Here is a 14256-nt window from a genome sequence, read left to right as displayed (position 1 = left end):
GTGTGTGGCTTCTTTCACTTAGAATAATGTTTCCAAGGTTCATCTGTGTTGTAGCATGTATCTGTATCTTATTTATTTTTATTGCTGAATAGTATTCCATTGTATGGATAAACTGCATTTTGTTTATTCATTGATTAGTTGTTGATGGACATTTGGGTTGTTTCCACTTTTTAGCTATATTTACATTACTGCTTGTGTTTTCATTTCTCTTGGTTATATACTAGGAGCAGAATTGCTGGGTCATATGGTACTTCTACTTTTAACCTTTGAGGACCTGCCAGACTGTTTTCTAAAGTGGTTTTACCATTTTACATTCTCATCAGCATATGTGAGGGTTCTGGATTTCTCTACATCCTCACCAGTATTTGTCTTTGATCATAGTCATCCTAGTGGGTATACAGGGGTGTCTCATTGTGGGGGTTTTTTTCCCCATTGGGGTTTTGATTTGCATTTCCCTGATGGAGATAAATATATTTTTTGTGTGTCCCCCCACAAACTGCCTGGTTCTGATGAGACCAGTGTTCTTACAGAGAATAACTTTGCTTTGAAACAAAACAAACAAACAGCCTTTTGACTTGGGTAACCTTTGGAGTATGTTAATTGTGATTTACTCTGGCCTTGTAACATTGTAAGTGGAGATTTTGTTTAAAAACTGCGTTCGCTGAAACAAGTAATAAGGTTCAGACCTATTGTTACAAGTTCTGAGTTTTCTTTCATATAAATATGTTTGTTCTTTTGTGTGGATAAAACCTAACGTGGCAAAAAGGTGTCAAACACCTAAGTATTAAGGAAACTAAAATGAAAATGCTGCATGAACAGAAACCTTGTCCAATTTTCATTACTATAGCACCATCACCTATAACAGTGCCAGTGTACAGTAGATATTACATAATATTTTTGAATGAATGAGTGGAAAATGATATGCATTTTTCTCTTCTGCATCCTCTGAAAGATTTCACAACGTGCAAAGTATGTAAGGCTTTATTTATATACAGATAAAATAATCAGAGTTTATAATCTATGTATTTACTTTCCTGCATAGAAACTCCATATGATTAAAAATTGAGATTATTTATTTTAATAACATGACTAATCAGTTTACTTAACCTAGAAATGAATGTTATCTAAGAACAAGCAAAGAATGTTAGAAGAATTTAGTGTTTAGGAATTATTATTGTTTTCCATCTCAGTCGTATATATTTTCTGTTTTAGCCACTTTGGAGATTTGTTAATGATACCAAAGACAAAAGAATGTTAGTTTATAAATCTGAAGATATCAAGAATGTTTCACGTTTGCAGTCTCCAAAAGTGTGTGGTTATTTAAAAGTGGATAATGAAGAGTTGCTCCCAAAAGGGTTAGTAGACAGAGAACCACCTGAAGGTAAGACTTAAAGAGTGTATTTCAAATAAGAAACAAACATACTACAATTGACTTCAGTAGGGGTGGTTGTTATTTGTTAAAAAATAACATGATTGTCAAGTAACTATAGTATTTGGCATGAAAATAAGAGGTTTGTTCCAGAAATTTTCATCTTCTTTTGTTTATAATGTAAGAGTTGAAAACTCTGGAAAATAATGGGAACAACAGAGATTAGACTTTAAAAAAGATTAGGGAAAAGGGAAATGGAGTGATCTGAGGGAAAATATTCCTGCAGATATTTAGAAATGATAAAATAATATGGTGGAAAGACAATCTTTAGAGTTTATAAGAAATTAATTGGTAGTAGGAGGGACCTATATATATACTGCTTAGAATACAAGAAGGTTATATCCATCTTGGGACAATCCATTTAGGGTCATTTAAAAAACGTAACCATCTTGGAATTTTACTGCCCAAAACACCTCTGGTTAGGTTTTTTGTTTTGTTTTGTTTTGTTTTGTTTGCAGCGCGATCTCGGCTCACTGCAACCTTTGACTTCCAGGTTCAGGTGATTCTCCTGCCTCAGACTCCTGAGTAGCTGGATTATAGGCATGTGCCACCAGGCCTGGCTAATTTTTGTATTTTTAGTGGAGATGGGGTTTCACCATGTTGGTCAGGCTGTTCTCAAACTCCTGGCCTCAAGTGATCTGCCCACCTCAGCCTCCCAAAGTGTTGGGATTACAGGCGTGCACCAACATGCCCGGCCAAAGACGGTTATGTTATTAAAATTATATATTAGCATTTTAATATATAAATAAAGAAATTCTTAATTTATTTCACAAGAAAGTTGTCCTATTAAACTAATTTTCAATGTGAATATCTTGACATTTTTACTGTTACATTGGTTAATTCATAAACTTCTTGTTGTAGAATATGACTGACAGCTTCATAGCCCAGCATTAGGTGACTGTTTTACTCTGTTGAGCACTATTTATTTATTTATTTATTTAGAGATGAAGTCTCACTTTTGTCGCCCTGGCTTGAGTGCAATGGCACAATCTTGGCTCACTGCAACCTCCGCACCCTGGGTTGAAGTGATTCTCCTGCCTCAGCCTTACAAGTAGCTGGGATTACAGGCGGGTGCCACCATATCTGGCTAATTTTTGTATTTTTAATAGAGATGGGGTTTCATCATGTTGGCCAGGCTGGTCTCGAACTCCCGTCCTCAGGTGATTCACCCACCTTGGCCTCGCAAAGTGCTGGGATTACAGGCCTGAGCCAACATGCCCGGCCTTACTCTGTTGAGCACTTTTTAAAGTTTCTGTATTGGAAAAATTAAAGAGGCACTTGTCCTTGGTTTTGAATTCTACAGTGTTTTAACTTTATGTTACTTTTCACTTTTCTGTCTTCCTCCAAATTATTTTTTGTTGTTGTTCAGAATCCTTTAGTGATATTAAGCTCACATAATGTTTGTTTCAAAAATATGTTAGATTTAAAGTGTTACCATAAAACTCCTTGTTTTGGTGAATTTTGATTTAATAGTGCATACAAATTCATATTAGAGCTTGTTCATCGAGTGAAAAGAAGAGCTGACCCAGATCCCATGAAGAACACGTGTAAATTATTGGTGGTAGCAGATCATCGCTTCTACAGATACATGGGCAGAGGGGAAGAGAGTACAACTACAAATTACTTAGTAAGTATTTGATATTGCATCGAGTAATTGAAAAAAAAATTTGGGTGGGTACATTCCATGAAACTTAATGCAACCAGATCTGTTCCAGATACTCTGTTATTTCCCTAAAATATTTGAGGGATATTCTCTGAGGTTTTTATGTTACTGTATGGAAATTATAGTTTCAAATTTGTGACAACCCATTTTACCCTTGAACTAATATTTTCTGCATGTTAGAATTTATGCATATAGGGTTTGGGAGAGGTTATAATGTAGTCCTTCCTCCTTGATATAAGTGAGTTCTTTAAAAACATCACTGCTATCATGGTAGTGAACCTGTGGTGTCACATGTGAATGTAAAAATATGTATTTGCATGAACCCATGTTTTTCTTTTGCTTATATGTATATTTCAGAGAGGAAGGCGAGTTTTGTTTGTCATGTTAAAGACCTAATCATTGGACTTCACTTGAAATAGGTGGGACTTTCATGGTCATAACTAGTTCTAGGGCACAGAAGTGAAGGAAAGATGTAAGAAGTGATGATACTGGATTTTTAAGTATGAACTATTATGATTTTTGAAGTCTGGGGAATCATTTTTCATTGACATTTTTTGCTAGTGTGACTTCATTCGTCATGATTACTTGGCACTGACCAAAATGTTGTTACTGAGGGAATAATGGAGAATGCAGCTATTCATGAAGCAAGAAGAAGCTGGTGCAGTAAAGATGTCTTTCTCATTGCCTTGCTTTTCCCATGCTGTCCATTTTATTCATACCCTCCCAACTTCTTTCCCTTCCCTTTCATGTCAAGTGGATTTTTTTTTTTTTTTTTCAACACAGAGTCTCACTGTGTCGCCCAGGCTGGAGTGCAGTGGCACAATCTCAGCTCACTGCAACCCCCACCTCCTGGGTTCAAGCAATTCTCCTGCCTCAGCATCACAAGTAGCTGGAATTACAGGCGTGAACCACAGCACTCGGCCCCATATCAAGTGAATTTATTATGAGGCTAGTAAGAGTCACTGTGATTCTTGTTCCTAAATAAGAGAGATTTTTACTTTAAAAAGCTTCTCTCTTAATCTGGGTTTTATATTAAGGGGCTCCTCTTATTTTACTTCTTTGTTCATTGCACTATAAATATGAATATAATGAGAGATCTAGTCTTAAAAATTGTATTTTTTTACAACTTCTTAGGCATAACTTGTTTCACAGTTGCTAGAACAAACCTCATCAACCCAGTTTTTGAACAGTAGAATATTCTCTTTGAGAAAAAGATAGGTAATTAGCATTTTGTTCTTTCTCATGTCATTTTCCTTGGAAACTATACTGCCTTCCTTCTCCAGTTTTCCCAAATCAGAGAACAAAAGAAGGAGGGTTGCTGAAATGAACCTTGTTCTTTCTGGCTGTCTTCTTACCCATTCCTCAGTGCTGAACTTTTTGGGGTGAGAGTGGGGGAATAGGGTTGGCAGTTGTCTGCCACGGCCCCTTACTTGTTTCTGGGGAAGACATTCGAGGTACTCACCAAGAGATAGAGTGAAGATGGAATTCTTTTTAGAAGGGAATACAGTTGACCCAGGAACAGTGCGGGGGTGTGGTTAGAAGCACTGACCTTCTTCCCTCTGCAGTCGAAAATCCTCACGTGACTTTTTTTTTTTAAGGCTCTGTCGCCCAGGCCGGAGTGCAGTGGTGAAATCATAGCTTGCTGCAGCCTCTATTGCCCGGGCCAAAGCAATCTTCCCACCTCAGCCTCCTCTAGCTGGGACAACAGGTGTTCACCCTTCCTGGCTAAGTTTTTTGATTTTTAGTAGAGATGGAGAATTTCCCAGGATGGTCTCAAACTTCTAAGCTTAAGCAATCCTCCTGCCTCAGCCTCCCAAGGTGCTGGGATTACAGGCATGAGCCACTATGCCCGGCCACTGTATAACTTTGATTCTCCAAAAATTTAACTACTAATAGTCTACTGTTGACCAGAAGCCTTACCAATAAAATAAGTTGATTAACACATTTTTAAAATATGTATTATTACTGTGTTCTTACAATCAAGTAAGCTAGAGAAAGGAAAATGTTATGATGAAAATCATAAAAAAAAAAAAAAGCCCGGCATGGTGGTGTGTGCCTGTAGTCTTCTGTTACTCAGGAGGCTGAGGTGAGAGGATTGCTTGAGTCCAGAAATTCAGGCTGTAGTGAGCTATGATCGTGCCGCTGTACTGCACCCCTGGTGACAGAGCAAGACCTTGTCTCTTGAAAAAAAAAAAAGAAAATCATAAGGAAGAGAAAAATACATTTACTATTCACTAAGTGGAAGTGGATCATCATAATGGTCTTCATGTTGAGTAGGCTGAGGAGGAAGAGGAAGAGTTGATCATATTGTCTCTGGTGACAGAGGCTCAAGGAAATCCATATGTAAGTGGACACTTGAAGTTCAAATCTGTTGTTCAAGGGTCAACTGTATTTCAGGTATACTGATTGACTTTTAAATTTAATTTTTATTATTGGCTGAAACGGTAGTTTTAAAAAAGCCTGTTACTTGTCATTTTGGTTCCATGTGCAATTGAGTACCTGAAATTTAGGTTAAACTATACCATTGTTTTATTCTGGTAACAGCACTTTAAGTTTGGGGCCAAAGGTTGGGAATACTCTGATACAGTAACATCTCAATGCTAGTTTTTGCGAAAGTAGAAACTTTTGCAATGGCCTCTAAACTGAGATTTTTTCTTTCCCCATAGATTTTATATTGCATTGCCAGGAGAGGTAAAGAGTTACATAATGTCTTTTTTCTTTTTTAAATACACACAGATAGAGCTAATTGACAGAGTTGATGACATCTATCGGAACACTTCATGGGATAATGCAGGTTTTAAAGGCTATGGAATACAGATAGAGCAGGTATTTATCAATAGATATGGCTTATATTACTTAAGTTTTGTAATGTAAATATTTGTCACTTGTATTCAAAACCTAAAAACTTGTCCTTAACAATAATTGTAAATAAGTTTTCTCAGATGCCAATGATTTTTTATGATGAATTGTGCAGTATTTTTGATGTTAATTAGTTCTAGATTGTGAAGTTTTCTGTCCTTAGTCTCGCTTTAGGTAGAAAGCCTTTTATGCTGCTGTGCTTTGTTCCTTCTTTGAATTCATGGCCTTTATATTCTCTGTAGTTTTCTTCCCCCCTCCGATTATGCTTAAGTCTTTAGTTAAAACTCTGGCATGCACCATTGAATCCTTAGTCAGAAAATTTACTAAAAAATACTGTGTACCTTTGCAAGGCTGTATTTATATATACAGAACCTTTAGGTTCTTTCCTCTCAGATATCTCCTTCTGATTTCTTGTAATCTGTTAACAGAGTGTGTCTAGTAATGTTATATTAATGTCATCTTAATAATAGCTCATATTAAAAGTTATTTCAAATTGCTAGGACTAATTAAAAAGGCTTCTGACAAAGGGTATTGCTTTGGGCAGAGAGACATTTTGATATGTAAATTATATAAATTGTTATCTCTATTTTTTTCCAAGCTTTTTGTAGTAAACCATATTTTTATAAGTTATATAGTATAGAATTTAGAGGTTGAAAAAATTTTTAAAAATCATTCACCATGTTTATAAATGTTAAACTTTGATATTACTTGTATAAAACTAAGAGAATTATTTTTCCCTTTTCATTCTCTTTCACTGTTACGCATTTTCTTTTTAAGTTATTATTTGAATAGGTAACATGTACACAGTACAAAAGCCAGTGAAAAGTAAGTCTCTGCAGCCTGTTTATTGTCAAACCAGTTCCTTTCCCCAAAGACATTCATGTCACTAGTTTCATATGTATCTTTCTAGAGATGTCGTATGCAGGTATAGTGTATGTATATGTCTGTATTTGACACAACGGTGCTATGCAGTACACTTTTACACCTTGCTTTTTCATTTCACAGTATGTTGGAGAGTACTTCATGTTCATGCATGTAAAGCTGCTTCACTTGTTTTATTATAAATAGCTGCATCATGTTTGAGTTTCAGGGAACCTGTAAATTTTCTTTTTGCTTTAGGCATTTGGAACCAGTCGAAGAAACAGGAATAATATAGGAGATTAAAACATTAACTTCTTTACATCTGATGAAGGATGGATTGGAGGGTGTGGTTTAGATGTGTATCATGGTGGGCTTCTAAGTAGTTCTATCCCAGATTTGACCTTGACCAGCCACCATCAAAACTGCAGAGTCCACCCCAGTAAACTTACCACACAGTGGCAGAGGAGACCAGAATGGGCCTTCTCTGCAGGCAGGCAGGCAGGCAGGCAGGCAGAGAGACTCACAGAAACTCTGAGCTGAGCATGGTTTCCTTCTTTATCTCACACTTACTAATGGGAGCCTTTGTTACTTTTTTTTTTCTTCTTTGCAGGTTTAATATGAATTTGTCTGAAATGCCTGTATAAGGAGAAGACTCTATTCTTAGCCTTTTATTCCTTTGATGCACAAAGAGATGTATATTTTATTATTCTTTCCTGAGTTGTCGACTGTAGTCGTAATAAATATTTTAGGCTCCTGTAACCCAAGTTCTTATTTTTTCAAAATAAACATGGAGGATATGAAAATTTAAGAGTACATTTATAATATTATAAATAATTCATTGACATATGTTTTCCATACCATATGCTTCTCTGTTTGTTTCAAACATTGAATATTGGTACTGAAGAATTTATGAATTTTGGTTTTAAAATGTTTTTTTTCTAGAACGATTCTTTTTTTGAACAGATAAAATAATGCAGTATTCAGAGCCTTCTGACTTATTTTGGAAGTGTTCTAAGTATATGATCTCTTTAAGTATAGATTCGCATTCTCAAGTCTCCACAAGAGGTAAAACCTGGTGAAAAGCACTACAACATGGCAAAAAGTTACCCAAATGAAGAAAAGGATGCTTGGGATGTGAAGATGTTGCTAGAGGTAGGTCTTAGAATCCTGGATATGGTGCTAACACCACTTTGTCATTTCTGATATGTGGATTGTATGTGTTTTAATGAAGGAGCATGTTAGAAAAGATGGACACCCAGAAGCAGTCTCCTCCAGCTGATCCAGCAGTAACCCCATCCCATGTAGCAGCATAGACAACAAATAACAAAAACTCTATGAAAAAGAAAAACGCTATAAAGCAATGCTTCCTTTTTTTTTTTTTTTTTTTTTTGAGACAGAGTTTCACTCTTGTTGCCCTGGCTGGAGGGCAATGGCGTGATCTTGGCTCACCGCAACCTCCATCTCCCAGGTTCAAGAGATTCTCCTGCCTCAGCCTCCCAAGTAGCTAGGATTATAGGCATGCACCACCACGGCCGGCTAATTTTTGTATTTTTAGTAGAGACAGGGTTTCTCCATGTTGGTCAGGCTGGTCTTGAACTCCCGACCTCAGATGATCCGTCTGCCTCGGCCTCCCAAAGTGCTGGGATTACAAGTGTGAGCCACCATGCCCGGCCAAAGCAGTGCGTCTTAACCTTAATATCTTTGAGGATCTAATGAGACAATCAGTGGATCTTCTCTAGAAAATAACATGGATACCCAATATATAGAGTTTTTGCACACTGTTTCATTAGTTCTGCACACTTAGTTCAGCTCTCTCTGAAGCTTATCAATTTATCTTTTAGGGCAGTAATTATCAAACAGGTTATGAACATGTATTGGAGAGTAGAAATATAGCTTGGAGATCTGAAAGTTCTCTACAGGAATTTAAAATTTTTGTGTTTTTATTCTGGCGATTAATCTAAAGATGGCTAACTTAATCATTTTATGTCATTTGGAGTCTTGCCGTATAACAGGGTGCTGCCATGTGATTCCAGTGTCTTGAGTTTGTGTGTGCTATTACTTTGGTGTAGAATGACTTTATATGAAGCGATAGTTTTTATCTTTTAATGTGTTGGCAAGTTTATTAGTTTCTTGTTGTTGCTTTAATTATCACAAGTGGAGCAGCTTAGAACAACACTTATTTATCCCATAGTTTGCATGGGCTAGTCCAGGTATGGTGTGGCTCATCTGGATTCTTGTTTAGGGTCTCATGAGGCTGAAATCAAGTTTTCAAAGCTTCAATAGAATTAAAGGATATTATAACTATTCATCCAGATGGAGAAGCATAATGTGCAGCACCTGTGTGGTACTCATTCATACCTTGTCTAATTTGATCTGCTGAGCACCCTGAGAGGTTGGTTGAGACAGCATCCTTGTGAGGAGGCTCAGCAAGTGTTACTGTTTATTCCAGCTGACATGACAAAGCAGCATAGGCTGGGGGACTTAAACAACAGAAGTTTGGGTTTTCACAGTTCTGGAAGCTGGAAGTCCAAAATCAAGGGGTCAGCAGGGTTGATTTCTTCTGAGGCCAAGGTACTTGTGGTGTAGATGCTGTCTTCTCCCTGTGTTCTCACATGGTCCTTCCCTCAGTGTGTGTGTATATTCTGATCTCCTTATCAGGACACCAGCCATATTGGATTAAGGCCCACCCATATGACCTCAGTGTACCTTAATTACCTCCTTAAGGGCCCTGTTTCCAGATAGAGTCACATTCTGGGGTACTGTTGAGGGTTAGGACTTCAACATTTGAATTGTGGGGTGGCACAATTCAGCCAGTAGCAGGAAGATTAAATGACTTGTCTGATTAGTCATACAACTGGTGATGGCAGAGGTTGAATTGAGCACAGATCTCCTGACTCCTAGAACAGCTGAACCACTGCGCCTGTCTGCTTTTCTGTGAGCCTCCAGACAGCCCATGGCAGGGGAGGAACCAAAGAGAAAAATGACTTATGTTGACAGATGGTCCTCTCCAGTTTTCTTCCCTAAGCCTCCTAGAATATTCTTAGAAGCCTCATCCTTTTACCACGGAACTATCAGAATCCCCATGTAACCACACTTCATTCCTCATATAGGGCTCTCTGGCCTCTCATTTAAAGCATTTTAAACATTGAGGGTTTTGGCTAGGCATGGTGGTTCATGCCTGTAATCCCAGCACTTTGGGAGGCTGAGGATGAGGCAGTGGATTGTTTGAGCCCAGGAGTTCAAGGCTAGCTTGGGCAACATGTTGTACAAAAAATACAAAAATTAGCCGGGCATGGTGAGGCACGCCTTTGGTACCAGCTTCTTGGGAGGCTGAGGTGGGAGGTTCACTTGAGCCTGGGAGGTCGAGGCTGCAGTGAGCTGTGATTGCGTCACTGCATTCCAGCCTAGGTGACACAGCGAGACCCTGTCTCAAGCAAAATAAATCAAACCCCCCCCCCAAATTAAGGTTTTTTTAAACTTGGAGACGCTGGACGGTTATGGTAGAGGTTTTTAAAGTAATGTATGAAGCCCTTTTAAATTAAGAAAAAAAAAATCCTCTCAAACCTGCAGTGTTGATTTAAATGGATGTAAAATCTTTATTTTAGTAACATAAAACTGGGTATGTATGCTTTTCTATAAGTGTATATTTATATAAATGACAATATATTATGAAGCTCAAAAAAGTTTAAGATTAAAATTTCTATAAAACCAATTGAATCCTTGAAATACTTGAGAGGGATCTGTTTTGGCCTGGAGTGCTGCAATCCCCTTATCGAATTGGAGCATCTCTAGTCCTGGGCTGTATGTCTTCAGAACAGCCCTCGGAGGAGCAGTGAGTTAGTTCTGAAGAGCTGGAGCAAGCTCCCGAACTATTCCCTTTTGTGTCCCTTGTCAGATGACAGTGTGTGCCTCTCACCTGTGCAGGTGGAGAAGCACTTTAGGGAAAGAGCAAAGCACTGCACGAGGTTGTGATTGCTGGTGCTGAGCTGCATGCCATCATAGTTCTGTTCTGGAATGTTTAGTTGATTTAGATTACATCTTTTAGTCTGATGTAATTGTTAATCTAAGAATGCTTTTTTTTTTTTTTTTTTTTTTGGTCTTTCAAAGCAATTTAGCTTTGATATAGCTGAGGAAGCATCTAAAGTTTGCTTGGCACACCTTTTCACATACCAAGATTTTGATATGGGAACTCTTGGATTAGCTTATGTTGGCTCTCCCAGAGCAAACAGCCATGGAGGTGTTTGTCCAAAGGGTAAGTTTTTCCATTTCTTGTGTGAATATGCTGCTGGGATTATTAAGATGATTGGATTATATTATAATTCTGTATTTAATAAGCAATTTATCTCTGTTTCCTTTTGACTTTAGCTTATTATAGCCCAGTTGGGAAGAAAAATATCTATTTGAATAGTGGTTTGACGAGCACAAAGAATTATGGTAAAACCATCCTTACAAAGGTATGTTCTTTTATTTCTAAAAGAATAGTGTTAGAGTTTATTGTAGTAGAACCTCAGTTATATATTTATGTAGGTATTTTTTTAAAAAATGTAATATATACTGTTTTTTAAATTTCTGCCTAAATAAAATTTATGTATTTTTGTGGGATATATGAAAATTAAAGCATAAAGAAGAAAATAAAAATGGCCTGTCAGCCTTCTTTTGAAACATGTGAGGACCACTGCTTTTCTCGAACCCTCTGTCCTGGACCCCTCTGACCTGCAGCAACTCTTAGAGCTCCCTGTCTCCTAGTCCTGCAGTGCAGCTGTCATTCAAGGCATCCCACACCCTCTTATTTTCAGAACCCCATGGTCTCCCTCTTTCTCAGTGCCATCATTTTGGTGTAGTGTATCTTGCAGGAGCTTCCTAAGAAAACGTAGATGACCTGCATATTGTTGGGATTTCATATATCTGAAAATGTCTTTATTCCACTCTTAAGCCTGATTGATAATTTTGGCTGAGTATATTCTTAGTTCTCATGTTCTCTATGGTCTTCTGTGCATGTTGCTTCTAAAGAATCTGAAGTCATTTTGAGTTCTTATCTTTGTTTGTCACCTGTTTTTTTCTCTGGAATATCTTAAGATCTTGTTTTTCTCCAGCTATGTCTGTTAAAATGTGTTTGACTACAAATAACAGAAAATTAAATAAGCAGTGGTTTAAATAAGGGGTTTATTTGTCTCAGTCAACAAGAAGTTCAGGGATAGCATTTTCTGGGTGGTACAGCAACTCAGAGGTACCCTCAGTGGCTCAAGAACAAGCAGGAAGTCTTTGTCCTCATGGATGTCACCTCATGGTTTTAAGATGGTTCTCTTCTGTGTTGGAGAAAGGAGGAGAAAGAGAACATGGCTAGCCTAGTCTGGCCCTTCTAAAAAGCTTCTCTGGAGGCCCCATCCTGGCTTTTGTTTATATGTTACTGGACAGCACTGGGTCCCGTGGCTGCCCTTAGCCTCAACGGAATGTGGAAAGCTGGCTATTTTAGCTGAGTATATTGCTGTCCTGGGCAAAATTAGGGCTCATTAAGTAAGGAAGAAGGGGAGAGAGATGTTGGTAGGACATATTAGTATCTGATATACTGATTTTTAATTTTTATTTAATTTTTATTTTTTTTGAGACAGAGTCTTGCTCTGTGGCCCAGTCTGGAGGGCAGTGGCACCATCTTGGCTCACTGTAACCTCTGCCTTCTGGGTTCAAGCAGTTCTCCTGCTTCAACCTCCTGAGTAGTTGGGATTACAAGCACCTGTCACCACGCCTGGCTAATTTTTGTATTTTTGTTTTAGAGACAGGGTTTCACCATGTTGGCCAGGCTGGTCTCATGAACCCCTGACCTCAAGTGATCCACTCACCTTGGCTTCCTAAAGGGCTGGTTGGTATACTGATTTTTTGACTATGATGTTATACTTGGTGTAGGGTATGGGAAAACATTTGCAAAAGACACATCTGAGAAAAGACTGCTATCTGAAATATACAAAGAGGCCGGGCATGGTGGCTCATTCCTATAATCTTCGGCACTTTGGGAGGCCGAGGCAGGAGAATCACTTGAGCCCAGGAGTTTGAAACTAACCTGGGCAAGATGGTCAGACCCTGTCTCTACAAAATTAAAAATAAATAAATAAATAAAAATTTCCATATGTATAAAGAACTGTTAAAATTCAACAATAAGAAAATGAACAACCTAATTTAAAAACAGACAAAAGAGCAGAACAGATACCTCCAAAGATATACAGATAGCAGAGAAGCATATGAAAAGATGCTCAGCGTCATATGTCATTAGGAAATTGCAAATTAACAATGAAGCTGGTTGTAGGGGTACATGCCTGTAGTCCCAGTTGCTTGGGAGGCTGAGGTGGGAGGATTGCTCGAGCCCAGGAGTTTGAGACCCATCCTGGGCAACATTAGTGAGATCCTATTTCTATAAAAAACTTTAAGAAACCCAACAACAATGTGCTATTACTAGTAGCTTATTAGAATGGCTAAAATCCCAAACACTGGCAACACAATTCCAACAAGGCTATGGAGCAACAGGAACTCTCATTAATTGCTAGTGGGAATGCAAAAATGGAACAGCCACTTTGGAAGGCAGTTGGCAGTTTCTTTTCTTTTTCTTTTTTCTTTTTTTTTTTTTTTTGGAGACGGAGTTTCACTCTTGTCACCCAGGCTGGAGTGCAATGGCGCCATCTCGGCTCACTGCAACCTCTGCCTCCCAGGTTTAAGCAATTCTGCCTCAGTCTCCTGAGTAGCTGGGATTACAGGTGCCCGCTGCCACTCCCAGCTAATTTTTGTATTTTTAGTAGAGATGGGGTTTCACCATGTTGTCCAGGCTGGTCTCGAACTCCTGACCTCAGGTGATCCGCCTGCTTCAGCCTCCCAAAGTGCTGGGATTACGGGTGTGAGCCACTACGCCCAGCCATAAGAATGTTTATGGCAGCTTAATTCATAATTGATAAAACTTGGAAGCAACCAAGATATCCTTTAGTTGGTAAATGGATAAACTGGCACATCCATAAAATGAGAAAAAAATAAAAAGCTATTAAGCCATGAAAAGACATAGAGGAACCTTAAAAGCATACTACTAAGTAAAATAAGCCAGTCTGAAAGGCTACATACTATATGATTCCAAATATATGACATTCTAGAAAAGACAAAACCATGCAGACTATAAAATGATCAGTGATTGCTAGATGCTGGGGGAGGGAGGGATGAATAGGTGGAGAGCAGGGTAATTACTCTGTATGATACTTCAACAGTCAGTATAAGACATTATGCATTTGTTGAAACACATAGAATATACAGCACAAAGAGTGGACCCTAACATAAACTGTGGACTTTGGGTGATTTAAAAACAGGTGGTGGCAGGAGCCTATAGTCCCAGCTACGCGGGAGGATCACTTGAGGCCAAGAGTTAGAGGCTGTAGTGTGATAAATGCAACTGTGAATACCCGCTACATTCCAG

General features: G+C 38.3%; 1 protein-coding gene across 6 annotated transcripts in view; it reads left to right on the top strand.

The window, feature by feature from the left end:
* Window positions 1-14256, top strand: part of ADAM17 (ADAM metallopeptidase domain 17) — a 67345-nt gene that overhangs the window by 26664 nt on the left and 26425 nt on the right. For 2 of the 6 annotated variants that reach the window (NM_003183.6, XM_047445610.1), the window contains 6 exons: window positions 1213-1381; window positions 2923-3056; window positions 5829-5918; window positions 7851-7964; window positions 10920-11064; window positions 11178-11266. In NM_003183.6, the coding sequence (NP_003174.3) occupies window positions 1213-1381; window positions 2923-3056; window positions 5829-5918; window positions 7851-7964; window positions 10920-11064; window positions 11178-11266 (741 nt within the window). Of the gene's footprint in view, window positions 1-1212; window positions 1382-2902; window positions 3057-3961; window positions 4311-5828; window positions 5919-7845; window positions 7965-10919; window positions 11065-11177; window positions 11267-14256 lie in introns of those variants that run through there. The other 4 variants (NM_001382777.1, NM_001382778.1, XM_047445611.1 and 1 more) reach the window with 4 other exon arrangements.

The sequence above is a fragment of the Homo sapiens genome, chromosome 2, assembly GCF_000001405.40.
Source record: "Homo sapiens chromosome 2, GRCh38.p14 Primary Assembly".
Taxonomy (NCBI): Eukaryota; Metazoa; Chordata; class Mammalia; order Primates; family Hominidae; genus Homo; species Homo sapiens.
The sequence above is the reverse complement of the archived record's forward strand: the minus strand, read 5'-3'. Positions and strand labels throughout refer to the sequence as shown.